Source organism: Homo sapiens, chromosome 10, assembly GCF_000001405.40.
Source record: "Homo sapiens chromosome 10, GRCh38.p14 Primary Assembly".
NCBI lineage: Eukaryota > Metazoa > Chordata > Mammalia > Primates > Hominidae > Homo > Homo sapiens.
The window spans coordinates 112,744,377-112,770,184 of record NC_000010.11 but is presented as its reverse complement, the minus strand read 5'-3'; the positions used below and the strand labels follow the sequence as shown (position 1 = coordinate 112,770,184).

Here is a 25,808-nt window from a genome sequence, read left to right as displayed (position 1 = left end):
TAAAAGTGTCAAACACATAATACGAGTGGGTTGGATCAGATCAGAGGTCACCAACTGGCAGTCCATGGCCAGATTCCGCCTGCAGATGTGTTGGTTTGGCCTGCTCGGTTTGAAATTAAAAAAAAAAAAAATCGTTGCCAACATTTACAAATGCTAAGATTTGTAATCCAGAATGCAAGCATTCTGGAAACTCCAAAAGATATGACCCCAGTGGGCCTACATGCCCCTATGGCAACCATGGGGTGGATTCTGAGAAGCCTCTGGATAGGGTACTCCCTCTCCAGTTCTCAACACCTCCTGGCCTGTTTCACTCACTGCGGTACCCACCTGGTTCCTAAGGTATGTAAATATGCCACCTCTGACCTGGGTTATTTCCCAGATTCCTACCTGCTCTTTCTCCAGGCTATGTTCTAAGGTCTGTGGTGTTGCAACAGGAAGGTAAAAGAGGTGAGACTCCTGGATCTTGCCATATACCTTTCCAATACTAGGCAGAACAATGGGATGCATGGATTGAAACTGCATTGGCTTGCAAGCCTGATACCACACCCAGAACAGAACCTAAGGGAGATATTCAGAGGTCATTTAGGCCTCACCAAGGCTCCACCTTGCTGGGGACCTCCAGCTTATGGAGGGGTGGTGCACCCAGGCATGAACTAGGAGGCTACTGCTGGCAAGTCTGGCTTATCAAAGACATGAAGATAGGGAAATTCCATGGTCTTTCATCTAATATTCCAAATGGACTTGGACTTTAAGTCAACTCACTTTCTTCCTTATGAGAAGGAGAGGTAAATAGACCCTGCAGATTAAACGACAAAGCCCTCTCTGACTCCACCAGAGGCAGCGTAGAATCCTTCCACATACAGGAAGGGCTCACTGTCTAGTTGGGATAACCTTACAATGAGGCCCTGAGACAGCCACACCCTGCATCAGGGTATAAGCAAGGCCTGCTGTCTGTGTTCTGAAGTTAGCTGGGCTGTGGTGGTGATCTGGATTTCCAACTTACTTGTGGATGTAATTAATTGCAAATTTTAGCTCTCCCTATTTCACACAAAATTTATTTGGGCTCTGCATGTTATTTCCCTTTGCTAGCCCTTCCAAGTTTTTCTTTCAAGAAATGAGTAACTGTCAGTCCTAAAAGGCCAGAATTACTTCCTAATGGGTTTGGGTTTTAAACAAAACAAAACCAAAAAAACTTATTTTGAAATAAATTTAAACTTGAGAGAAGTTTCAAGAGAAATGAATTCCTATACCCTTCATGTAAATTTACTAATTATTATTATTTTGCACCCTAAGCTGTACCATTCTCTGTTTGTCTGCATAAACGCATATTTCATTGAGAACCATTTGAGTCAGTTGCAGACATGAGGCTCCATGATTATAACACATTTACCCAAATCAGGAAATTTAATAATGATCTAATACTAACATGGAAACCACAGCCTGTGTTGTCAATTGCCCTAGTAATGCTCTGTATTTCTTTCCCCACCCTCACCCCTGCTCCAGGATTCAACCTGGGATCATGAACTGCACTTAGTTTTCTAGTTGTCATGCCTCTTTGGTTTCTCTTAATCTGAAATCCTAACTGGTTTCTGAAGATGCTTTCTTTGTGGCATCGGAGAACCAGAACAGATAGAGGTTGAGGGTGGAAACATGCAAAAAAGGAGAAAAAACCCCAAATGTAATGGGTGAAACTGGTAGACGATCATGGGGGAATACCAAATGTTCCCGTGGACCGCAGCAGTTGCTCCAGGAATTGCATCATATGCTTAAAGTTGAGAAGGCCAACTTGCAAAGCTAAGAGTCTTCTATTTTGGTCTTATGCTTTCTTCCAGAGACAACTGCCACGTCCTGCTCTATTCATCCCAAGCCTCTCCAGAAAGCGCCTTGTGGAGCAGTAATTACATTTCCAGGGTGGCAGAGGCTCTTTCTCGTCAGCCTTGTGTCTCTCAAAGCCTCTAAATCATTCCATTATACCATAACAATGGATCCTCACACTCGTCATGCAATTTGTTTTCATTATGTAAATCACTTCATTCTCTTTTCCAATATCTGCAGGGAGCTGCAAACCACTGAAGGTCAAAATCGGAAGTGGAATATGCGGGGCAGGGACAGAGAGGGGTTGAGGGAAGCCTGGCTTGGTCCTGGAGGTCACCTATCACATGAGGTTGGGAAGGAGCAGATAGGAGCACAGAAGTCCAGGAAAGGCATGAGGATCCAAGGGGGAAGTAATACGTGTCCGGCTTCTGTGACACTAGTGCCTCTGGGCACATGACCTGCAGGTCACCCTCCCCAAGATGCCTGATGACAAGACTGGTCCTAGGAAGAGGTGAAGGGCCCAGAACATTTTGGCCTTTATATCATCTCACCATGCCTTACATGAAGTTTGTGTTTAAAATAAGTTAGTTACATGTCCCATTGGTCTTCAAACAATTTTAAAAATTATTATTTTTTCATCGCAACCAAGAAAATTGGGAGAATACAGAGAAACAGAAAAAAAAAAAGAGTAAGGAAGAAATAAGGTAGGCAGGCAGGAAAGACCCTTTAGTTGAAAACTCAAACGAATGCATTTAACATTAGGGAGTTTCTCCTCCCCTTTGTTCCAGTATGTGCCATGCTGTTGTTATTAGTTTATGCCCTCCTGTTTTCAGAACTAGCACAAATACACTAGAATGGTTTCTCTCCTTGTGCTTTTAATCTGACAGATTTTACTTCATATTCGGCATTGAATAGGCACTTACTTCCTTTTAGGCACTGGGTCTGCAATCAGGGTTTGCTGCCTCCAGGTGAAGAAGGGACTTGGGGAAGCAAAATAAACAAATGATTAAGAGTATGGGCTCTGAGGTCAGACCAGCTGGATTCAAATTCCAGGATCTCCACTTACTAGTTCATGACTTTGGGCCTTGGCCTTACCATCTGTAGCAGGAGATGATAAAACTACTTACCCAAAGATTGCTGTGAGAATTAAAATGCGCTAACACATATAAGAGCTTAGCACAGTACCTGACACACAGTAAGGCACTCAATAAATGCTAGCTATTACTATTATTCCAATATGGATTGAAAAGTCAACTTTAAGCCACAGATTGGGAAGCTGATGAAATCATTTCCCTTTTAAAGAATAAAAACTCACATGGCTAAGAAATCAGTGGCTTTAAACTCTGCTTTGAAGGATATGTAATATATATGGAGCAAGATTTAAATAACTAACACCTGAATGTACTATTGCTACGTTTTTCTCACTAAACCACAATTGGCACGGATCTTATTTCTTTTGTCCCTTTATAGCTTCAAATGAAGAAATCCTTAGCTTCCATCTCATCCAAGTTACCTGCCACTAAACCAGTCTCACAACTTCTTAAAGTACTTGTAAATACTTAGAATACCTATGCTATGTTAAATTTCCTTTGCCCCCAGCTAACTAAGGAAAAGGTTTATGAAGATGCATACAAGACCTGTTTTCCAGCACCCTTGCTAAAGTCATCACTTTCTCTTCCCTATGGTAGGAATCCAATGGGAGATTTTAGTTCTTTGGACCATATTCCTTGAGCATTTTTTGTTAATCTGAAGCAAGTATTTTTCTCTCCTCTTTGAAGTATACTAGCATTTCTTCCAAGGAGAATCTAGTTCCTGATTTTCCTATTGACTATTAATTTGAATGCAATGGTTTCCTCTTCAAGTGAGGTTGTCTGGAGCAACCAGCAGGTAAGAATCAGATACCAATTCTTGCAGAAACAGCTTCTTTCTAACTAACAAATCTAAAATTATATTGGAACTTAAGTTTATACACAGCTCTTAACTGAATTTAGCAAAGTTTATAAACAAAAATTTAAAGTAACTCCATAATAATTATTTTTATCTTTGAAAGTACTGGCTACCATCTGTTGAACTTAACCTTATTTATGTATAATTTCCACACTTGTTGCATTGCTTGTAGTCAGTTTTAAACTTTGACTTGTGTTTCTTTCCACGGAACGCCTTCTTTATTGCCTAATGTCTCCTTTTATGCTTAACCTTGTCAAAAGGCCTTAACATTCCTTAGCACGTGCTACTACACCTATAGGTCTGGCCCTGACCTCATACCACTCTCTCCTTTCTCTTGCTTCTCCAGACACACTGGCCTAATTCTGTCTCTTGTCCTCTGCCCACTTCCACCACAGGGCTCTTGCATAAGCTCTTTTCTGTGACAGAAGCATCTAGGTAATGCCTTCATACCTCAGCTCATGTCTCACTTTTTCATCAACCTGCCTTGGACTCCTGTCAAGGTAAAATCTCTAGACCACAGCTTCTCCAGGTGTGGTCTCTGGACTGGCGTCGTTAGCATCACAGAGAGATAGGTTAGACACAGAAACTCTGGGGTAGGGCCCAGACATCTGGGCTTTGTTTTAACAATCCCTCCAGGGGATTCTGGTGCCTGCTAAAGTTTGAGAACCACTTACTTATCATCTAGTTCCACTGCACCATGAAGCTCTCCTTCATAACAGTCATCACAATTACTTTCAAATTTGTGCGATTATTTGATTAATGTCTGTTTCCCCCACTATACTAAGGGCAGAAACTGTGTCCCTTTTGCTCACCAATATTTCCCCAGCACCTAGCAGTGTTTAGCATGTAATTGGTGCTCAATAAATATTTTTCAATAAATTAAACATAAATGTAATGCTTAAAAGGAAAAACACACCAGGTGAGGTGGCTCATGCCTGTAATCTCAGCACTTTGGGAGGCCGAGGTGGGCAGATCACTTGAGGCCAGAAGTTCAAAACCAGCCTGGCCAAAATGGTGAAATCCTGCCTCTACCAAAAATACAAAAATTAGCTGGGTGTGGTGGCGGGCGCCTGTAATCTCAGCTACGTGGGAAGCTGAGGCAGGTGAAGTGCTTGAAACCAGGAGGTGGAGGCTGCAGTAAGCCAAGATTGTGCCAACTGCACTCCAGCCTGGGTGACAGAGCGAGACTCCGTCTCAAAAAAACAAAACAAAACAAAACAAAACAAAACATACAAACTAGTAATTTACAAAGCAAGAAATTGAAATGGTATTTTAGCACACTCAAATTCAATTAGTAAACTAGGAAACAGGTATAATAATATGATGTCATTTCCCTTTCACTTCTCAAGTTAGCAAAGATGAAAGGGAATTATAATATCCAACCAGGACATGGGGATCATTGCTGTTGTAGCAATGTGGGTTTGAGTAGCTTTTCTGAAATGCAGTTTGTCATCATTTTGAAAATGTAAAATGACCCAGCAATGCCACCCTTAGTCATTAACTCTAAGGATATATTAGTACCTCTGCACACAGGTATATGTATGTACAAGGGTATAAATTATAACATGGTTAACTCTAATTTTAAAATAATGCAAATATTCACTAATACAGATTTGTATGAGCAAATTGTGGTGCGCTGACAACACTAACTACCATGCAGACAACAAAAATGATGACGCTGAGATGAATTAATTGATGTAGAATTAACCATGATCACAATGTTAACATTAACCAGGCTCAAAATACTAAGTAAAATGAAAAAGCTCAACTTAATTAAAAATTTATATTTATACAGGTATATATCCAGAGAAAAATGTCTAGACAGATACTCAGCAAAAGCACTATTAATGGTGTCAGTATGGTGGTCTTTATTTTCTTCACAATTCCCTATAATTTTCAAATTTTTTTCAGTATATCACTCTATATAAAACAGAGAATTAACAATAACATTTTTAAACACCACATTGGTTTAAGCAAAATATAACTAGGAAGGCGAAGCACTTTTGTAAACACAGAACCAACTAAAGATAATTCTCAAAAGATGACTCTTGCATTATTCACTGTTTTGGGTTAACCACACCGCAAGTCTCCTCCATTTCCACCGAAAATCAAGAATTTCTGCAACTGGCTGCAATGACCGACACATCAAGTACCGCAGGCACTGATTGGGGTTAAGTAGCTGGTAACTGACCGCATGCATGCAAACCACATCCAAACACTGCTGGCACAGGAGAGATAAAATCCCTACCCTTAACTAAGGATTCCAGAGGGCGCCATGTCCATGAATGGGGGCCGCCATCCTCATTGCTATAGGTCGGGCATCAGTCTGTTGGGGATCTCTAAACAACTCCCAGGGATGTGGGAGACAGTCATTGCAGGCATGATTGCAACTATTTAAAATATTTCCTTCCACCTCTCTCTTTTTCTCTCCCTGAAACTGTACATATTCTTGGGATGCTGTTTTCTGGAGAGGGTGCTCTGGCGTGAATCAGACAGATAAACCGATTGAGATCAGGTGATGTTTGTAGATGCCAGTGAAGCAGTGTCTGATTGGCACCCAGTTTACCACATGTTCTTCGTGTTATATGGTGGTGGGCAGAAAAAGGGTGAGGCTAGAGGTCAAAGGCAGAAACTCAATGACCTCGATGTGCATTTTAATAAAACAACACCCGAGAGCTAGACTGAGATGAAGGATAAAATAGGTCCCAAACCAAGAGAGCTTATATCAATATATTGTACAAAACTCCCAAACACAGGGCTACGAAGTCTCACAACTCAGCGAAGCAGGATTGTAAATGCCACCAGGCCATTATATTTACTTCTCAGAGCTATAAAGCAGGGCAACATGCTCTTAGTATAAACGGGCAGAAAAGAAGCAAGAACTCAATTCAACCTCATCACCTTAGTGCAGGTGAGGCATGTAAAATTATGCCTGGACATCAGACTTGTAACAAAGGCCAGTGGTACCTTTTTTTTTTTTTTTTGAGATGGTGTCTCGCTCTGTAGCCCAGGCTGGAGTGCAGTGGCGTGATCTCTGCTCACTGCAAGCTCTGCCTCCCGGGTTCACCCATTCTCCTGCCTCAGCCTCCCGAGTAGCTGGGACTACAGGCGCCTGCCACCATGCCCGGCTAATTTTTTGTATTTTTAGTACAGACAGGGTTTCACCGTGTTAGCCAGGATGGTCTCGATCTCCTGACCTTGTGATCCGCCCGCCTCGACCTCCCAAAGTGCTGGGATTACAGGCCTTTGGGATTACAGGTGTGAGCCACTGCGCCTGGCCCAGTGGTACATTTTAAGTCTACTAAGAGGCCACATGCTCAGTTATTCATTCTCTACTCACCAAACTGGTACCACTAATAGGTTTCTGAGTCCAGAGCCAAGTGGCAGGGGCTGTCTGGGTATGGAGTTTTTGGTGCCAAAAGGTAGGGGTTGAGGCTATGCAGAAACATCTTTCAGCTGTGGCTCTTGTTATATATATATTTAAAACTAGCATTGGCCCAGATCTTTTGGTTGTGCTGAGCTGGATCCGTGAGATTTAAATGTCTTGATCCATTACAAGTATGTGAAACATGGCCCTGAAATCTAAAGGGAACTGCTGTCCAGGCCCAGCACGGAAATCAATTCTGGAAGTAGCTGGGAGGGAAAGTAAGCTACATTTTCAAGTGAAAATGTTCATTTTCAGGCAGTGGTGATAGCCTCATATTCAACAACTCTCTTCCGGGTAGATATTAATGAGAAATTGGAATACTGACGCTAATGACTGCATATCCCTTGCATAATTACAATGACCTGTAGTCCTTTTTAAATGCCAAATTAGCTGATTAAAATTAGTCAGTCCTGTTGAAGTTATAATATCCTAACTCAAATCTCCTGCCCAAATATACTTGCAGAAACTAATATTTAAAGATGGATTTGGAAAACTCAAAAAGCACTCCGTTTCTAATATAGGGCCAAAGTAATTTCAAATGCACTTTAGGAAGCTTTAACTACGGCTTCTATTCCAATTCGTAGGAACCTCTCTGTCTTCGTGTTTCTGGATTACTACCTGCTTTCCATTCAGGAGAAAAAAAAAAGTTCTCAGCCTACTTTTGTCCAACTTCACCCCTGATTTCACTTTTTTTGTTCTTTTTTGGCCCTCACCCTTTACACCTTGTAGCTACAGAGCTGCATCTGAAACACTGGCTCTAGCATCCCCTATGAGCCCAACTGCAGAGAAGGGGGCTGTAGCCCTTGAAGCCATGTGAAATAAGACCTGAAGTAACCGCGATGCCAGTGTTTGGCCACCCTTGGCTGAAATAACATATTTACCCAGCAACAAAGCTTTCCCATCCATTTTTATTTAAGAGAGATTTTAAATAAAATCTAGTAAATGAAACTGTAATGTATCCAGTGCAACAACTGTCAAAGAACAGCCATTTAACTTCTTTGGAGGGGAAAGCATAATGCTGTCCAGGACTGCTGTAAATCAGTTCACTGTAAAAGACTTTATTTACTCAGATCGCGGAGTAGATATTCAGAAAACAAAATAAGATAGTTTCTTATGGCAAGAACAAGATTGCTACGTGTATAGATACACAAAGATACAAGATCAGCATATACATATATTAATATATTCATATACATACACACACACACACACACACACACACACAGAGAAAGAAAGAGAGAGGAGGGAGAGCAGGAGGGAAAGAGAACAAGCACTGGTAATAAATACAGCAACAGAATCAGCAGTTTCCAAACTCAGTTGTGTAAAATCGAACTTATTTTTCTAGCTTATAGGATTAAAACTGGATTTTAACTTAGAGGTAACACATTGCATTGACATTAAGAATAACGTCAGGCTGTGTAAATATTTTTTTAAAAGAAAATGTGGCATTATTAGTGAGAGTAAGACATAATTGTTATGTTTAAGGAAAGAAAGCCTTTATTTGTTCCCTATACAATCATAACTCAATCAAGCAAACAAGGCTTTTTCCTCCCCTCAAACCACCATCATAATGGGAGTTTTGTGTAAGCTCCTTGTTTGTACAAAAGCCTGACGATATAGTCTTGAGGGGTAATCCTAAGGCTGTTAGACCGAAATTAAAACAAACCTTACCAGTAGATCTGTGTTTTTAAGACAGCTCTATTTAAGAGGGCCATGCTGATTATACCAAGAGATAAGCCCCACAGAATCTAAGGGTGATCACTTCAGCAAACATGGGCATGGCATTGCAATTTTCTAGTTTTTCACCTCACAGAAGAGCAAAGATCTCACAATCACTTCGTTAAATAGCAGCGGATTCCTCAAGACATACAGTCCATGGTATGCATGAGCCTGAGTAAGAGGTTGACTTTAATTTTTTCAGCCTTGAAAATAAAAAAAGTTAAATGCTCACGTATATAATTGGTTCAATTATCACTAAAATAAAGCAGTGCTGACAAGGGTTCTATGTCCGATTTCTGCATTCTTAAATCAAATGTGAAGTTAATATTATACATCAATGAACATCTGTATTGTTTCCAACTTTTTGGTTTTTTTTTTTTTTTTTTTGGAGATGGAGTCTTGCTCTGTCACCCAGGCTGGAATGCAGTGGCACGATCTCCGCTCACTGCAACCTCTGCCTCCTGGGTTCAAGCCATTCTCCTGCCTCAGCCTCCCCGGTACCTGGGATTACAGGCGCACACCACCATGCCCAGCTAATTTTTGTGTTTTTAGTAGAGATGGGGTTTCACCATGTTGGCCAGCCTGGTCTCGAACTCCTGGTCTTGTGATCTGCCCGCCTTGGCCTCCCAAAATGCTGGGATTGCAGGCGTGAGCCACTGTGCCTGGACTGGTTTTTCTTATAATAAAATAAAATCTCATCTTGGTCCTTGACCCAACACACACACGCTGGTAATAAAAGTATCACAGACATAACAAATTGTGATGAGTCTCAACACTAGGTTTTAACATTTTAGAATAGAACAGGATATAGTAGTCTCCTCTTATCCATGGTTTCGCTTTCTGCAGTTTCAGTTACCCAAGGTCTGAAAGATACTAAGACATTTTGAGAGAGAGAGAGAGACCATATTCACCGAATTTTTATTACAGTATATTGTTACAATTGTTCTATTTTACTCTTAGTTATTGCTGTTAATCTCTTACTGTGCCTAATTTATAAATTACACTTTATCAAAGGTATACATGTACAGGGAAAAACAGCATAAATAGGGCTTAGTACTATCCATGGTTCAAGCTTTCAGGCATCCACTGGCGGTCTTGGAACGTATCCCCCTTGGATAAGGGAGAACTACTGTGTTTGAAATTGTTCAAACATCTACCTCCCTAGATTCTAGTTCTTCGTGTGGACTCCCATATATTTTTCTGTGTTTATATCTTCCCTATCCCTCTTCTTCATTTCTGGCTATTTGCAACCCAGGCTGAGATGGTTCCAGTATTCCCCATTGGGAATTGATGGGAATTGTTCTCCCATCCCAAACTGCCCCGTCACTTCTCAGATGTGTGTTTTTGTTTGTCTTGTTTAATTACAGCATCCACATTCAATCACCCCTCACTCCGAGAATATGTGGGGTTGGTTAGACCCTGAAATATACCCTATGTCTTCTGATCCAGGCAGACCTGGAGTGCTGGAACAGTGAGCCATCAGTGGCAATGGGAGACTTGTGGGGTGGGAAGGGGGCTGGGGAAGGGCAGGTGGGAGCTTCCGTGGGAGGAGAAAAGCATGCAGTTCCTTTGAATCTGCTTCTTGAACCAATAAAACGGAATTCCTTCATACTTTGTGTAGGTGTTATGGTTGACTGGGAGGATTCCCTGAATTCAGATGGCTCTCTGCAAGCTGGAGACTGGAGAAAAGAAGCTTGTTTGAAAAGTGTTTTGCAATTGAACTGTGTCCGTTGTGTTTCCAACAAAAATACTTTCTAACGCAGTGTCGCTAAACGTTGGTTCGGTAGGCATGTGAACGAACTCTATACGCTCGGGGAAATAAGAAATGGATTTTATTAAGTTTATTAGCAGCTCAAAACATGATACTTCAACAGTGGGAGGAAAGTGATCCACCCACACAATTTGAGTGGAATGAGCATTTGGCTTTAACTACAGCTCATAAGTGAAACCTAAAACCTAGTTTTCCATCTGAAGACCTTTGGGGTCCATTTTTACACTATCTTGATCAAACCAGGAATGAAAGTTCAAGCTGGCTTCCTCTGGTGAAGGGTCCTGGAGTTTCTCCAGTCACACCTCTCCACATCAGCATTGCCTCGGGCTTCTTTTTCTCTCTCACTGTAGCTTAACTTGGCTCCCAACCAAGGATGCATTTCTACCAATCAGATGCCACCAAAGACCTCCCCTCTGGTAGCCGGCTGGGGTAGGGAGGCAGGGGAGGCCTGGGAGGGAACAGGGCAGGAGACTCATCTCTGAGGCCACTTTCACAGCACAGGGTGTCATTGGTGAACTCAGCTCCAGCCAAGATAAAAGGCTCATATCGTTTCTCTTTAAAGCATGAGCAGCAGGTAGGAAGATGCCTACCTTGTAGATGCCATGTTGCCCCGGCTGGTTTCGAAAGGAAGATGCCTACCTGCTGCTCATGCCTTAAAAAGCAATGATGTGTATGAAAATAATAACAACTACCAAAACATGCATTGAGAATGGGGCATGGGCTGGGCCATCCATAAGCACCTCATTCAGTCTTCACAACCACACTTGGAGGGATTTTCTATTATGATCTTCCTTTTACAGAAGAGGAAACAGACTCAGTAAGCAAGGGGAATGGCCCAAGGCCACAAAGTGGTGAATGGCAGGGCCAGAGCCTGATCCCACACTTCTCAGCCCAAGCCCTTGCTCTTGAATACCGAGTGCCAGCCTTTGTGGCTGCAACCAGCACTTCCTCTTGCAGCATTGGGTCTTGGATGTCTTGCCCTGGAATCACTTTGGGGTGCATTTAAAAATGTAGATTCCTGAACCCTGTGCCACGGGTTCTGATTTAGCAGGTCTAGGATGGTGTCCAGGAGTCTTTTTAACCTGTACCCCAGGTGATCCTGGAGTAGACAAATGTTTGTGGATCAATGCACTAGAGCTTGAGATGAGGGGTAGACATAGGTGGTGGAGGTTGCCAGGCCTGAGCTGGCAGAGATAGAGAGATACTCCTTAGAGATGATGAGAAGAAAGTGCAGGCTGGGGGTTTTGAGAAAATCTGCAGTAATATGGGACTCTAAAAGACTCTACTACCCTGTGCAAGACCCCCCTCCTCTATGAGCTTTCCTGTTCATGCTAATCCTGAGAACTTCCCATTCCACAGGTTTCTGCAGCTCTAATGTGGGTCCTACAGTCACATCCTACCTTATTTTACAGGTAGTTATTGCATAACTGCTATTTGCAAATATATGTCAGATTGAAATAAATGACAATACTTACATGCAAAGATGCTCAGGGCAATATTATTTATAATCACGAAAAATTGTAAACAAAATATCCAGTAGAAGATTAAACTGTGCAGACCTCCTAAACAATAGTTTATAACATATAAAATGTTCACATGCTGTCAAGTGGAAAAAGTAAACAACAATTCTATTTGCATGTTTTGTAAAAACCAAAAACAAAAGATTGGAAGAAAACATATTGAAAAGTTAGAATGGGTATCTTTGGGTGGCCAGATTACAGATGATTTTTATTTTCTTTGAAAGTTTTTCTGTTTTCAAGTTTTTAAAAAGAAACATATTACTGTCATATTAAAAATGTCATTAAAAAATCAAAGCAACAGGTCAGGCGCAGTGACTCACGCCTGTAATCCCAGCACTTTGGCAGGACGAGGTGGGCAGATCACTTGAGGCCATGAGTTCGAAACCAGTCTGGCCAACATGGCAAAACCCCGTCTCTACAAAAAATACAAACAATTAGTCTGGCGTGGTGGCCCGTGCCTGTATTCCCAGTAACTCAGGAGGCTGAGGCGGGAGAATCACTTGACGCGGAAGAATTGCTTGAAGCTGGGAGGCGGAGGTTGCAGTGAGCTGAGATGGTGTCACTGCACTCCAGCCTGGGCAATGGAGCAAGCCTATGTCTCCAAAAAAAAAAAAAAAAAAAAAAAAAAAAAAAATCACAGCAACAAAGAAAGGGTGAAAGCAAAGGCAAAAGAGCTTTTCCTCCAGGAATAAGTTGGAAAATGGGCAAGTTGTGTGTGGAATAGTTACTCCTCTTCCCTCCCAGCACTCATCACATAGCAATTTTGTGTCATGGAAGTTATGCTTGACTGACTGTCTCTCTGCTACAGGGTGAGGCCCAGGGCATGTCCTGCTTGGTCACCCTTGTACCTACAGTAGCTAATGGAGGCCTACACTTGGCTGCCTCTGAATTAGTATTTGTTGAATGAATGCATAATGATGCATCTTTTTTTTTTTTTTTTGAGGCAAGGTCTCACTCTGTCACCCAGGCTGGAGTGCAGTGGCGCAATTTCGGCTCACTGCAGCCTTGACCTCCTGAGCTCCAGTGATCCTCCCACCTCAGCCTCTTGAGTAGCTGGGACTACAGGCACACCACCATGCCTGACTAATTTTTTGTACTTTTTGTAGAGACAGGGTTTTGCCATGTTGCCCAGGCTGGTTTTGAGCTCTGGGACTCAGGGATTCTCCCGGCTCGGCCTCCTAAAGTGCTAGGATTATAGGTGTGAGCCACTGTGCCCAGCCAAATGATACATCTTAAAGAAAGCAGGCTTACATTTGCCTTTTATTGCTGGATATCTCTATTGGCCTATTAGGGGCTAATAGAGAGAAAAAAATATTTTAATGACATATTCTAGATTCATAGACCAGATTTCACCTCTCCAACTAAGCTAACAGTACCTAGAGGGCAGGGCTTCCATCATATGTAGTATTTCTGAATTTTCCTGAACACCAGTGTTGGACATGTAGTAGGTGTTTAATAAAGACCGGCTTTTCTGATGGAGATCACAGCAGAAGGAAGCATGCCCGCTGAGAGAAGACAGCCTCCTGGATGCCTCCCCCAGAGTGCAGGCATGACTCCAGTGTCATGTAGTCGGAGCCAGCCTGCCTAAGTGTAAATGCTGCGTGGAACTGAATGGCTGATTTTGTTTGCTGAGAGAGGCAACTAGGTAGCCCGGGATCTTTATCTGCAAAAGTAGTCATGCCGTAACACACTGCCCCGCCCCACCCCTTTTGGAAAAAGATTGATAAGCATAATGATGATGTTTTAATGAGCTTAATTGCACATTCCTTATGTGCCTGTGGAGTTGCCAACCAGCTAGTTCCACATCCAACAGTTTACTTGTAATAACTTTTACCCCTTTCTCCACGCCACGGAGCATAATTATTCTTGCGGTGATCCCGTAGTTCAGCTCTTTCTCCCTCTCCTCCCCTCCCTCTCTCTTTTTCTCGCTGTTTTTTTCCTTTCTGGGAATTACTCTAAATGGGTATCTTTGAAAGGAGGGTGGCAGGCTGCTTTTGGTACAGTACTTACCAAGAACCCTTTCATCAAAGAAGCCCTTGTGAGCATGCTCTGGACTTGGGCCAATCAGATCATCTCGCTGTCTGTTTCTGACCCTGGTATGCAAGTCAAGCCAGAGACTGCAGACAGGCTGACTGCACTCCTAGGCCAACCTGTCTTAGCTGACTGAAAAAATGCTGAGGGGAAAATTACCTGTTTGGCTCCAGACGAAATTAACATTTTTTATATATATACACACAAGTATGTTTATTATTTTTTGTTTAAAAGCGTTTGCCTATCTAATATATTCATTAATGTTATCTGGTCAGTACTTGAAACATTTTGAAATATGTGCAAATGCAATAAGGCTACAGGGCCTGGAGGCAAAATAAGATGAATTTTCTAATTAACTGACAGAAAACTGTTTTGGGATTAACGAATGGCTGTTCTGTAATCTGTTTATGGGCGCTGCTCCGTGCAGGGACATTTGGTCCACGTGCAGACCCTGGTAAGTTATAAGGACCTGGATACCAAGCACTCCTACTTCTCCACTATTCTTCATTAACCCACTCTCCACCAGGAATCAAGTACTGAAGGTGGATAGTGTGGCCCCCACCCTGGCAGATAATGGCCTCTTCCCAAAGAGCATCTGCTGGGGTCTGCTTTCCCAAGCGGGCATCTTTCTGCTATGGGTGGCAGATATGTCACAGAATTTGAAGCATACTTTTCTTTCTTTCTTTCTTTCTTTTTTTTTTGAGACAGTCTCGCTCTGTCACCCAGGCTGGAGTGCAGTGGCACAATCTCGGCTCGCTGCAACCTCCACCGCCTGAGTTCCAATGATTCTCGTGCCTCAGCCTCCTGAGGTAGCTGGGATTACAGGCGTGTGCCACCATGCCCGGCTAATTTTTGTACTTTTAGTATAGACAGGGTTTCGCCCTGTTGGCCATGCTGGTTTTGAACTCCTGGCCTCAACTCCTGCCTACCTTAGCCTCCCAAAGTGCTGGGATTACAGGCATGAGCCACCGCGCCCAGCTAAGCAAACCTATCTTCTGAACAGCCTTGGAAACCTTTGAGCCCCAGTCCCCAAATCATCTTATGAACACATTTTTGACATTTTCAGAAAAATGTCATCATTGAGGAATATATTTTATAGTCTCCATTTGAGAGAAGTACTAATTCTTTTCCTCTTTCCTAGACCGATTCTAGTTTGTTGCCTTCCCTTTCCTCGGAAACCCCAAGTTTGTGGATGCTGCAGACACTCTGTGCCCCCCTGCATGCTGGGTGCCTGGCCAGCTGCCAGGGCATAAAGACAGAGACGATGTGGCCTTTGTCCTTAAGAATGAGGTTTGAAAGCCTCAGTTCTTCCATGTTAGGTGATTTCTTGCAGCTCTTGGTATCTGCAGAATTAGTGTGAATGCTTAAAAAATATTAACAGCTTTATATCATCAAAGTTTTAACAGTACACTGTGTGTACAGGTGAGAATTACTGTGTCGTGAACTTTTTCTTTGTGGTTTTCAGAATTTTCCAGAATTTCTACAATGAACTTTTACTTTTGTAGATAGAAAAGCAGCAGTTAAGAAGAAACTTCCTGGGAGCACTGAACAGGCACATTCCTGGATTCTACAGAGAATCAGTTGACAGACAGCAGGCTGGGCAGGAGTCAGTCATGGTAGAGGGAGTCTGAATCGAAAGGGGGGGATTTTAATGAGCGGGGCGGCCTGAGGATCACAGCTGGCTTGGGCTAAGTTCCTGGAGTGTTAAATCAAGTAATAACAAAAACATGACTACATTTTACATAGGAGATTTCATAACTTCCTGAGAAGTCAACAGTCCCTTTCTCCGTGGGTGTACCTTCTAAGGAACCTCTACGTGCTTGCTTTGGGCTTAACATTTTCCCAAAGTTTTCTTGTTTTTGCAGAGTGCAATGTCCCGAACAGAATGACAGCTTTATTTTCTCTCGCGGTCCAACTTACACACTTACATCAAGTTGCAGCAAGACGTCTGCGTGCTGGATCTCTTCCTGGCTCCACAATCCTGACCTGTGCTGTGTATACTGTTCTTCTTCTTACAGTTTTAGACTTGATGGTGGAAAGGATGCTTGGAAATTCTCTTGGTTTGATTCATTCTGACCTAAAGGGTTTCTTTCCAAAAGGGTTTTCTTTCTCTTTTATAAGCCCCACAAAGTCAAGGATATAAGCTGAAATTGAGGCTTTCCCAACCGTGAGAGAAAGAAATATCAAATTCTTTTCATATGAATATATTCACGAAAAATAATCATACTCTGCTCCTGGCGACTTCAACTCTGGGTGGGCAGAACAGAAGTCTGGGGAAAAAAGTCTATTTTTGCTCTTGCATAGTCTCTTTTCCCTTACCAGGGGAAAATAGCTAATTTTCATCACCAAATTATATCTCCGAATGGCCAATGAAAACAATGATGGAAAAAATTCTTTGCAAATAGCGCACGCCATGCTATCCACTATCAGATAATAGTAATTACAGGTTTTGTCTCAAGAGCAAACAATAACCCTGGAGGGAAAATTCTCTCTTTTTAAGGAGAATAAACTCTTTCTAGGATTTGCATACTTTCTCCCTCTCTGAGGATAGTAATTTTGGGAAAAAAACAAAAAATAAAAGACAAACTTAATCCCTTTCTAGAGTTGACAAAAGTGTCTTGGGGACATCTGTTCTTTCTGATTATGAAACTCCAGGTTGTATTATTATTATTATTATTATTATATTTAAAAGAGTAAAGTTTCTTGGCTGTTTCTCTTATGTGTATAAACCTGGCAAAGGATTATTTTTTCAAAAATAAGTTGTTGAGTCTAATAGCTGATAACATCGCAAATCTGTATATGTTACAGGTAGAATGTTCATATAACACCATTGCCTCAGGGCTACATCTATTTTATAAACTCTGATCCTTTTAAAGGTAATTTTTTTCCAATGTATAATTAAATCTAATTTAATTTAGAAGAAATTTTATGTAAGATACACATACAAATCAGGGAAAAAAAACCGTTTTTCAGGCTTCATGTCTTTCTTATTGATTTGTAAAATGTAGCTTCGGAGTCCACAAATTATAGACCTCTATCATACAAAAAAAAAGGGCATTGGTAAAAAACAAGTCCATGTAAGTGAGCTGAAGTACCAAAAATAAGTCTACACTATACCCAAAAGAGACTGCCAAGCCACTGTAACCCCAATGGGATGAATTTTAAGGTAGTAAATAGCAGAACACCAACCAGGCAGCAGAATTCTTTCTTCCCCAAACACTAATACTGTAGTGTGATAGTTCAATACAGAAAACAATCCATAGTTTCCTAAGTGGAGGCAACATCTATTCTAGAAGCTGTTCTTCACCTAGCTAAAGCAAATGGGCCTTATAAAAACCCTGGCAGCCACAGCAGAAAGAAAATACATTTTATTAAGTGGGCGTTTTTCCAAAGCATGTTCCCCCTGAAGGAGAATCATACCTTCAGCATTTCAAAGATTTCTCAAATAGCACAAAGGTCAAAAAGTTTGAGCAACAGAAATGCAGTGGGTGAAATCTCCAAGCTATTCTTTCAGCAGCTGTGGCTGGTGAAGCTGACTCCCCGGTAAAGAGATATCAGCTCTGCTTCAGACTAGTCGATAATGTAATCAGAATAGCACAAACCTGGAAAAGACAGAGGGGGATCAGAGGACAAAATGGAATCAGTATGACAACAGAGAAGGGGACCCTGGCTGGAGCCAGGCTGGATTCAGTCCTGGTAGCTCCTGACTCTGGGTCTCACCACAGCTTAGTTGGGAGGAACTGGTCATTAGCATCTGCAACCCTCTCATAACTGCATCTTCTCGTGTTTTTTCTATACCTGTTTTCAGCTTATAGTTTTACATTACCTGTGTATGGTTATGTCTATACCATGACTTTGGTTCTTCTCAGCTTGAGAAGACAGACCTGACTTCCCTGAGTTCTAAGTTAAAAGAACTCTTTGATTACTGTTAAATTGATGTATCTGAACATGTGTAATCACTTCCCTGATACCTATACTGGATAAGACTAGGTAAGTTGTAGCTATTAGAGAATGCCGTGCAACCTCTGCCTACCACACCACCATGTGAATTCACCGTTGAGCAAAGGAAGCAAAGGCTCCCACCTGCCAGGATTTAAATACCTCAATGTGATTGTGTAACCAATGAGAATAGTTGGAGATCAACTCCTCACCTCTGCAGGATGCGACATTAAATTGACCCTTTCATGTGGCTTGCTTTCTGCACTATTCTATAATGTGTAATCTCTAGTAGAGTACTATAACTCCTAGGTTCTTGCTCTATTTCCTTATTTCAGTGGAGTGATGGACAATTTTATCCCCTTTATTGGTCCTATTTACAAAAGTGGCTACAATTGCCTCCAAAGAAACTACACATTTTAGAAGAAATGGATGATATTTTAAATTATGTCCTAACTGCATCCCCATGAGATGTGGGCAGCTGTCTCTTGGTCTAGAAGCAAAGATGCAGCTTGCAGGGCTTTTTTTTTTTTTTTTTTTTTTAAACAGTTAATTACTGAACATTGTTGCTTTCCTCTACATGATTAGGGAAACAGCAGGGAGTTAATTATTGAGTACCTACTGTGTGCCTGGCCATGCCAGATGTGAGGTCACAGAAATGGCGGTGGTCTACTCCCTGCCCTCAAGTAGCCTGCTCTCTCTACGTGCCCTGGCAGGTCATTGGGGTCTCTGCTAAAACACACACCACATTCCCAGCAAACCTTTCTTCAACCCTTACATAATCTTAATTCTGTCCTCTTAAATCTTACCACAGTCGTAATTCTTTTCTCTCCCTTCAAAAGATAGGTACTTCACACCAAACACTAGCTCAAGCACTGACGTTATTCTACAGGACTATGAACCTTCATATCCACATTTACAGTCCGGACAGATAAAGGAAAACAACCCAAATCCAGGAGGCAATATAAAAGGAAGAGAACAAAACACACATTCATACACTCACACTTAAAAATAGGGGAAAACCAACAGGGGAACTTTCGTTCTCTTCCTGGATGTCTACTTAAAAATCCCATGTGGTACGTGTGTCTGTGGAAACCTTTGTTATCTCAAAGATAGTGAGATACTAAAGGCCGAGGTTGCCATGGGACACACAGTATTTGCTTTTTATTCTATTGCACAATATCTAATTACAGAGATCCTGATAAAATTATGCATTCCTAAGCACAAATTATGGCCATTCTACAGGAGACTTAGTGTACATATTTTGTCAAATTTCATTAAAAAATAAATGAGGGATGACTCTGCAGAGTATTAGGGATAAGCAGTCTAATAAGACTCAGTCCTTTCCAAGATAGAATTCTCTTGAACTCGTAGTTTGGGCTGTAGGAGTATCCTAGGTGAGAGGCAGCTCAGTTAGTTTGTTCTCCCACAAAAGCTTAAGTTGAAACTCTAAAGCCCTTTCTGCCATTAGAGTGTTGCACAAGACACAGATTTAAAAATCAGTCTTGGCTAGGTGTGGTGGCTCACATAATCCCAGCACTTTGGGAGGCTGAAGAGGAAGGATTGCTTGTGTCCAGGAGCTCCAGACCAGCCTGGGCAACACAGTGAGACCTCCTCTCTCAAAAAACAAGCAAACGAGAAAACCAAAAAAAAAATTACAAAATTAGTCAGGCATGGTGGTGCATGCCTATAGTCCTAGCTACTTGGGAGGTTGAAGTGGGGAGATCATTTGAGCCCAGGAGTTTGAGCCTGCAGTGGGCTATGCTCGTGCTACCGCACTCCAGTGTAGGCAACAGAGTGAGACCCTACCTCAAAAAACAAAAACAAAAACAAAACTAAAAAAAAAAAAGTCAGTCTCTTTGTTTCTCCCCAAAGACAATAATTGATTTAATCCCATGGAAGGCTGAGCTGGTCTTTTGATAAGATAACATGTGACAGTTCCTCCTCATTCATCTCTACCTCCAGGTAACTACTAACCTGAAGCTTGTCCCTGTTTTTATACTTTTACTACATATATATCAACATGCATAATACTTTGTGTATAGCATATTTGAAAATTATCTTTTGACTCAATGTAAGTTTCAAACTGCATATATGTGTGCATGGTTCACTTAACAGCTATATAGTATGCTACTGCATCGACCCTCTTCCCAAATGATGAACATTTATGTTGCTTCTAAATTTCTGCTACTCCAGTGCTGCAAAAAATGCCTGGGTATATGGCCTCTTGTCAGTATCTAGAAGGATTTTTCTTGAAGTCTTCAAACTAGAGCATAGCTAAGTTTAAGGGAACTGATTTCCAGGTCCCTCCTATATGTATTATTTGCTAAAAGCAATCCAGGTATCTTGCAGTTCTTTTCCCTCTCTTTCCTTAAATGCCTTCTCCCACTTTACTAAGTAGCTCTGCCTGAAGTGTAAAAACCTCCATAGAGGCAAACAGGCAATACGAAGGACTGCTGTAAGCAGCTACTCCTTTCATCAAGGGCCACAGATCCCAGCTACAGCTCTGAGTTTCCTCCCTGTCTTACACATATTCCTATCAAGGGTGAAGCAGCATTCAACCCTTGTTGGGATGATCTGAATTCAGATGTATTGTAGACTAGGGTGGTGCAACTTTTGACAATCTTCATTCATGGTTTCACGTTTTCCACCCCCTACCCTCATTTTCAAAGAATGTAGTTTTTCTGAGAAAGTCTTGTGAGGACAAAGCAAATAGAGTGTCAGTAAGCAGTACTGAAGGTGGCAGTGCCTTCTGCCCCATATGCCAAATTCACAGACAGGCTTAAAGCTCCACACTCCATAAATCCACCTAAGGCCACTGGACTGGCTTCGCAACTACCCTAGAATTAGAACAGAAGTGATGTGGTTGTCCTTGGTTCATGTATTAATGCATATATTTAAACAGAAAAAAAATCATGTCAGACTTGTTCTGTTAGAAAATCAGTCTACCTGGTTGTTTTATTTGACAACGAAGATTGGTTTTACTCATTGGGTCATACGGTAGACTTTTCCATAATTCGAATGAACTAAATCTGTAACTCCAAGGTTTTGATAAGAATATACTTAAAGCATGTAAGACAAAACATTTTCTGCTGGGAGCAGTGGCTCACGCCTGTAATCCCAGCACTTTGGGAGGCTGAGGCGGGTGGGTCACGAGGTCAGGAGATCGAGACCAACCTGGCTAACACGGTGAAACCCCGTCTCTACTAAAAATAAAAAAAAAAAATTAGCCGGGCATGGTGGCGGGCATCTGTAGTCCCAGCTACTCAGGAATCTGAGACAGGAGAATGGCGTGAACCCGGGAGGCGGAGCTTGCAGTGAGCCGAGATCGCGCCACTGCACTCCAGCCTGGGCGACAGAGCGAGACTCCGTCTCAAAAAAAAAAAAAAAAAAAAAAAGGTTTCTAAATTAAAAAAAAAAAAAGAGTAACAGGTGTCATTTGTGTGTGGGTTATTTGTACATGTGTATAATTATCCAGGGCACATCTTGGCTTTCAGAATAAGTAATAAAGGACTTGTTGGGCAACTTCCCTGCATCTCTGCTGTGGAATATAAATCTGGAGAAAACTTGACTGGCTCAGGTAATGTGACAACATGTGTTTTTATAGATGAGTCCCCAACTGTACGAATAAAATAGAGTTAATTTAAATAGCTTTTTTAGTGTTCTACACTGAAAATCTAGCCACCTGAGAAAAATGGGCAAAGCCTCTCTGGCTATTGTTGTTTTCAGTACCAGTACAATTTCCAAATGCAACCCCAAATTGGATTGCTGTATGACTAATCTAACATTGTGTATTTAGGCTTTGCCGTGGGAGGTACCTGTCTGGGTGGGTGATGTTGCCCTGAGCCGGGCATGTCAGCAGCCTATGGTGGAAGGGGTCTCTTGTCAGGAATCCTAGTGCTGGCTCCACCAAGATTAGCTGAGTGACCTTTAGCAAGTCACTTCCTCTACCTGGGCCTCAGTTTCTCCACCTATGAGATGAGGGGTTGGAGCACACATTCTCCTAAGGCTCCCTGTTGTCGCCTTGACCCATCACTTCCTCTCCGCTTTGGTCTAGGAGTCCAACGTCCAGGACCCTGTCTGGGCGTTGGATTGCCACTGTACCCTCCAGCCGGGCCATATGAGTGTGGCTGCCAACCCTGGAAACTTCAAAAACTTCCTAGGGAAATTGCTAGGTACAACTGAGAAACACATGGGGAACCTTGTTCCAGCCCCCAAAGGGGCAGCACTGAACTCTGAGTTTGCCAGAAGGAAGAAGCCATACTCTCCGTATTCCTCTTTGAGGGCCTCCTTCTACACAACCCAGTCTCCAGGTAAGGGTGAAGAATCAAGCATGTATCAAGCCTTTCGGGGACCAATACATATTTATTTTGCTCCCTTACCAATATTCTTATGTTTTATTCTAGGCACCCCAAGAGAAAACAAAACAAAACAATTACGGTCATCGGCCACCTAACAACGTTTTGGTCAACAACGGAAACTATAGTTATAATACAGTATTTTTACTGTAACTTTTCTATGTTTATATACACAAATACTTAACCATTGTGTTATAACTGCCTATCGTATTCAGGACAGTAAAATGCTGTACATGAGTGTAGCCTAGGCACTATAGGATATACCTTACAGCCTAGGTGTGTAGTAGACTTTACCATCTAGGTTTGTGTAAGCACACTCTGTAATGTTCGCACAACGATGAACTCTCAGAACGTATCCCCGTCATCAAGCAATGCATGCTAATAAGAATACTTGTGGCAGATGATAAAAACAGCTCCTGTTTGCTTTACCCACATCACAGGTAACATTCAGAGAGTGTCTTAAGGCATTCCCCATTTATGGGAAGTGTTTGGAGGCCCGGTGGAGTCCCGAGGAGGGAAACAGGAATAAGATTCAGATGGACCTCACTGTGTAACAGTGGATAAATGCACAGGCCCCCGAATCTGACTGCCCTAGTTCAAATCTGGTCTCCACCACTTGTTGGCTGTGTGACTGCGCTGGGTAAGTGACTGGATCTCTCTGAGTCTCACTGTCTTCATCTGTAAATTGAAATAGCCCCAGAGGGTTCTTGTGAGGATTAAATGAGATAAGGACTGTAAACATTCTTGGCCCAGGGACTGTAAGAATGATAATATTATTAACATATTTTTATCATGCAACCTTCTAGTTCGGACATATTAGAAAGTGATTCCATTGACTTGTTTAGTAGGAAAATCTGGCAGATAAGAAGTCAAATCCATCAGCCGTGATAGCAGCCAATGTTGAGTTTTCTTTCTCCCTAGGAATTTTTTCCATTATAAAATGGGAAGCCAAGTCAAATTTGCTCAGTTAATTTTGGCCTGAGAGGTGCTCTTAGGACCCTCAACATTTGTCTATAAGGTCAGGCTTATCGGTTCACGCTTGTTAGCGTGGAAAAACTCCTTCCCTATCACAGTTTCTGCCACTTCCCTTATCCTGTCTTTCTTCTGGAACAAGTGGCCTTGCAAGACACTTCACTCCCTGTTTTGGCAAACACACTTGTTCTGTGAGAGCGAGTTCCGCCCATGTGTACAGCGGTGGGCTGCACACACCAGAGGGTTTATCAGACAGAAAGGCTTTTTTCTGTAGGTGCCAGGGCACTGAAAGCAGGGTCGCTGCTGGCTGTCCCCCTTCTAATTAAGAGTGTCCCACCATTTCTGAACTGTGACTCTTAGGGACACCAGGATAAACCTAAGGACTGTACTATATTTATCAGTCCTTGGGGCATGCTGAGAAATACTCCCAGATGAATGAGGAGCAACATGGTTTCTAAAACATGGGTGGAGTAGAGGCAGTGAGTTTTGTTTCGTACAGATTTATCTGAAATTCTATATCATAAAATTGATTTCAAATAGACATGAAATTCCAGAGTCTTCAAGGAAGTTGGCCCAAATATGATCAAGAACACAGCAAACCTGTTTTGAGACTTAGATGTCCATTTTTTCTGTAGCAAATGTTGACCAATGGCTATGTACTTACTGAGCACTAAGGTGGGATAGGGAAGGGAAAGGTTTTGTAATACAAGACATGAATTAGCATAATTTAAAAGATTCTTAAATTGGCCTCTAAAGACTTGAGTTTAAATCCTAGCTCTGTCTCTTGCTACCTGAGTAACCTTGCACAAATCTGCTAGGAGATTCACATGTGGCTTCTCAGCTTCATTCTGGGCTTCAGGGTCAGTCCTTCACTTGTTTGGGCTCCTTCCAAGGTCCTGAAAGAGGTCTTAGCAATATGTTCACTTGGCCAAATATCTTTGTAAAAATAAGATACAGTAACTGCAATGCATGGTTAGGACGACTGACTTTCTACTATTCCCTTTCATGTTGGACAGCATCGGTGTGGCTGTGAGCACTTTTGGGATCCAGCTAAGGGGAAGCTGAGTTAGGGATAATTTACTTTGGATGTAGTGGGATAGATTCACATGTCCACAGTCATTTCCATGTCTGGTTAAATCACTGTCAGCTGTGTTGAGCTGGAGATGGTCAACTCATGGAGTACTGGGACACAAAGGTGCAGGCTCAGAGGTCTTACTGTAATGTGAACATAGTGAGAGCACTCGACACTGGAGGTACGTGGGTGGCACAAAAACAAAATGTATAGAGCCAGAAACTAGTCTGAGAAAAAAAAATCCAAATCCTACAGCTCATATATAGACAAAAAGTGAGAGATATGTTCATTTGACAACAATCTTAAAAACTTCCACGACATTACTAATACTGAACCACAGAGCCAAAGAAGCTTTTATAAAACTTTCAATCATTAAAAAAAAAACAAGTTTTGATCAACCATGCTAGAGGAAGAAGTTAACCCTCTTCCTACTCTCTCCACAAAAAGTCATAAAATAATTATTAGGTGAAGAAATGGCCAGGGATTATGCAGCCAAAAAACATAGGGAAAAAAAGTATTACATATGTGTCAATCAGTTAATTAATAAAACTACTTTTTTCCTGCATTTTATGGTGCCTGTAGTATTTGCCTGCTTTAAAAAATGTATTGTACTTTCTTTTCTTGACCTAGACAATCATTAACTTTCATAACTTACTGAGTTTAATGTTTCTTTCAGGGAGTACCCCAAACTGTAAATGCTTCAGGTCCCACAAAACCTGTTCTACCCCTGGATATCTCAGTTTGCTGTGAGGATGAAATGAGACAAGATGCTGAACGTGCTGGATCTGCAATGTAGCTGGCTTCTAGTAAGAGCTCCGACAGGGAGGGATGTCGATGCACAGCTAAGGGACAACATCGAAAGTGCAATAGTAGGCCAGGCGCCTTGGCTCATGCCTGTAATCCCAGCACTTTGGGAGGCGGAGGTGGGAGGATTGCTTAAACCCAGGAGTTTGAGACCAGCCCTGGCAACGCAGCAAGACCTTGTTTCCACAAAAAATTTAAAAATAAGTCATGCATGGTGACATGTGCGTGTAGTCCCAGCTACTTGGGAGGCTGAGGTGGGAAGATCGCTTGAGCCTGAGAGGCCAAGGCTACAGTGAGCCATGGTTGTGCCAGCCTGGGCGACAGACTCTGTCTCAAAAAAAAAAAAAAAAAAAGGAAGAAGAAGAAAATGTAAGCATGTAAGCATATGCCATATGTTCCATATCACTTCCGGCAGAATCTGGGGGTAGAACACCAT

General features: G+C 42.0%; 1 protein-coding gene across 7 annotated transcripts in view, besides 1 other annotated feature; it reads right to left on the bottom strand.

The window, feature by feature from the left end:
• The window catches only part of VTI1A (vesicle transport through interaction with t-SNAREs 1A), a 408,381-nt gene that overhangs the window by 85,184 nt on the left and 297,389 nt on the right, over nucleotides 1-25,808 (bottom strand). The window contains exon 8 of one of the 7 annotated variants that reach the window (NM_001365714.1): nucleotides 17,577-17,832. The exons of the other annotated variants lie outside the window; for them this stretch is intronic. Coding sequence (NP_001352643.1) covers nucleotides 17,817-17,832 — 16 coding nt within the window. The 3' untranslated portion in view covers nucleotides 17,577-17,816. Of the gene's footprint in view, nucleotides 1-17,576; nucleotides 17,833-25,808 lie in introns of those variants that run through there. 7 annotated transcript variants of the gene reach the window in all.
• Nucleotides 15,941-16,235: a silencer, noted in NCBI's record as "tiled region #7283; HepG2 Repressive non-DNase unmatched - State 7:EnhWF, and K562 Repressive non-DNase unmatched - State 24:Quies". NCBI's record gives its function as "represses a minimal TATA promoter and a strong SV40 promoter by Sharpr-MPRA in HepG2 and K562 cells {active_cell/tissue: HepG2 | K562}" and the evidence as "EXISTENCE:reporter gene assay evidence [ECO:0000049][PMID:27701403]".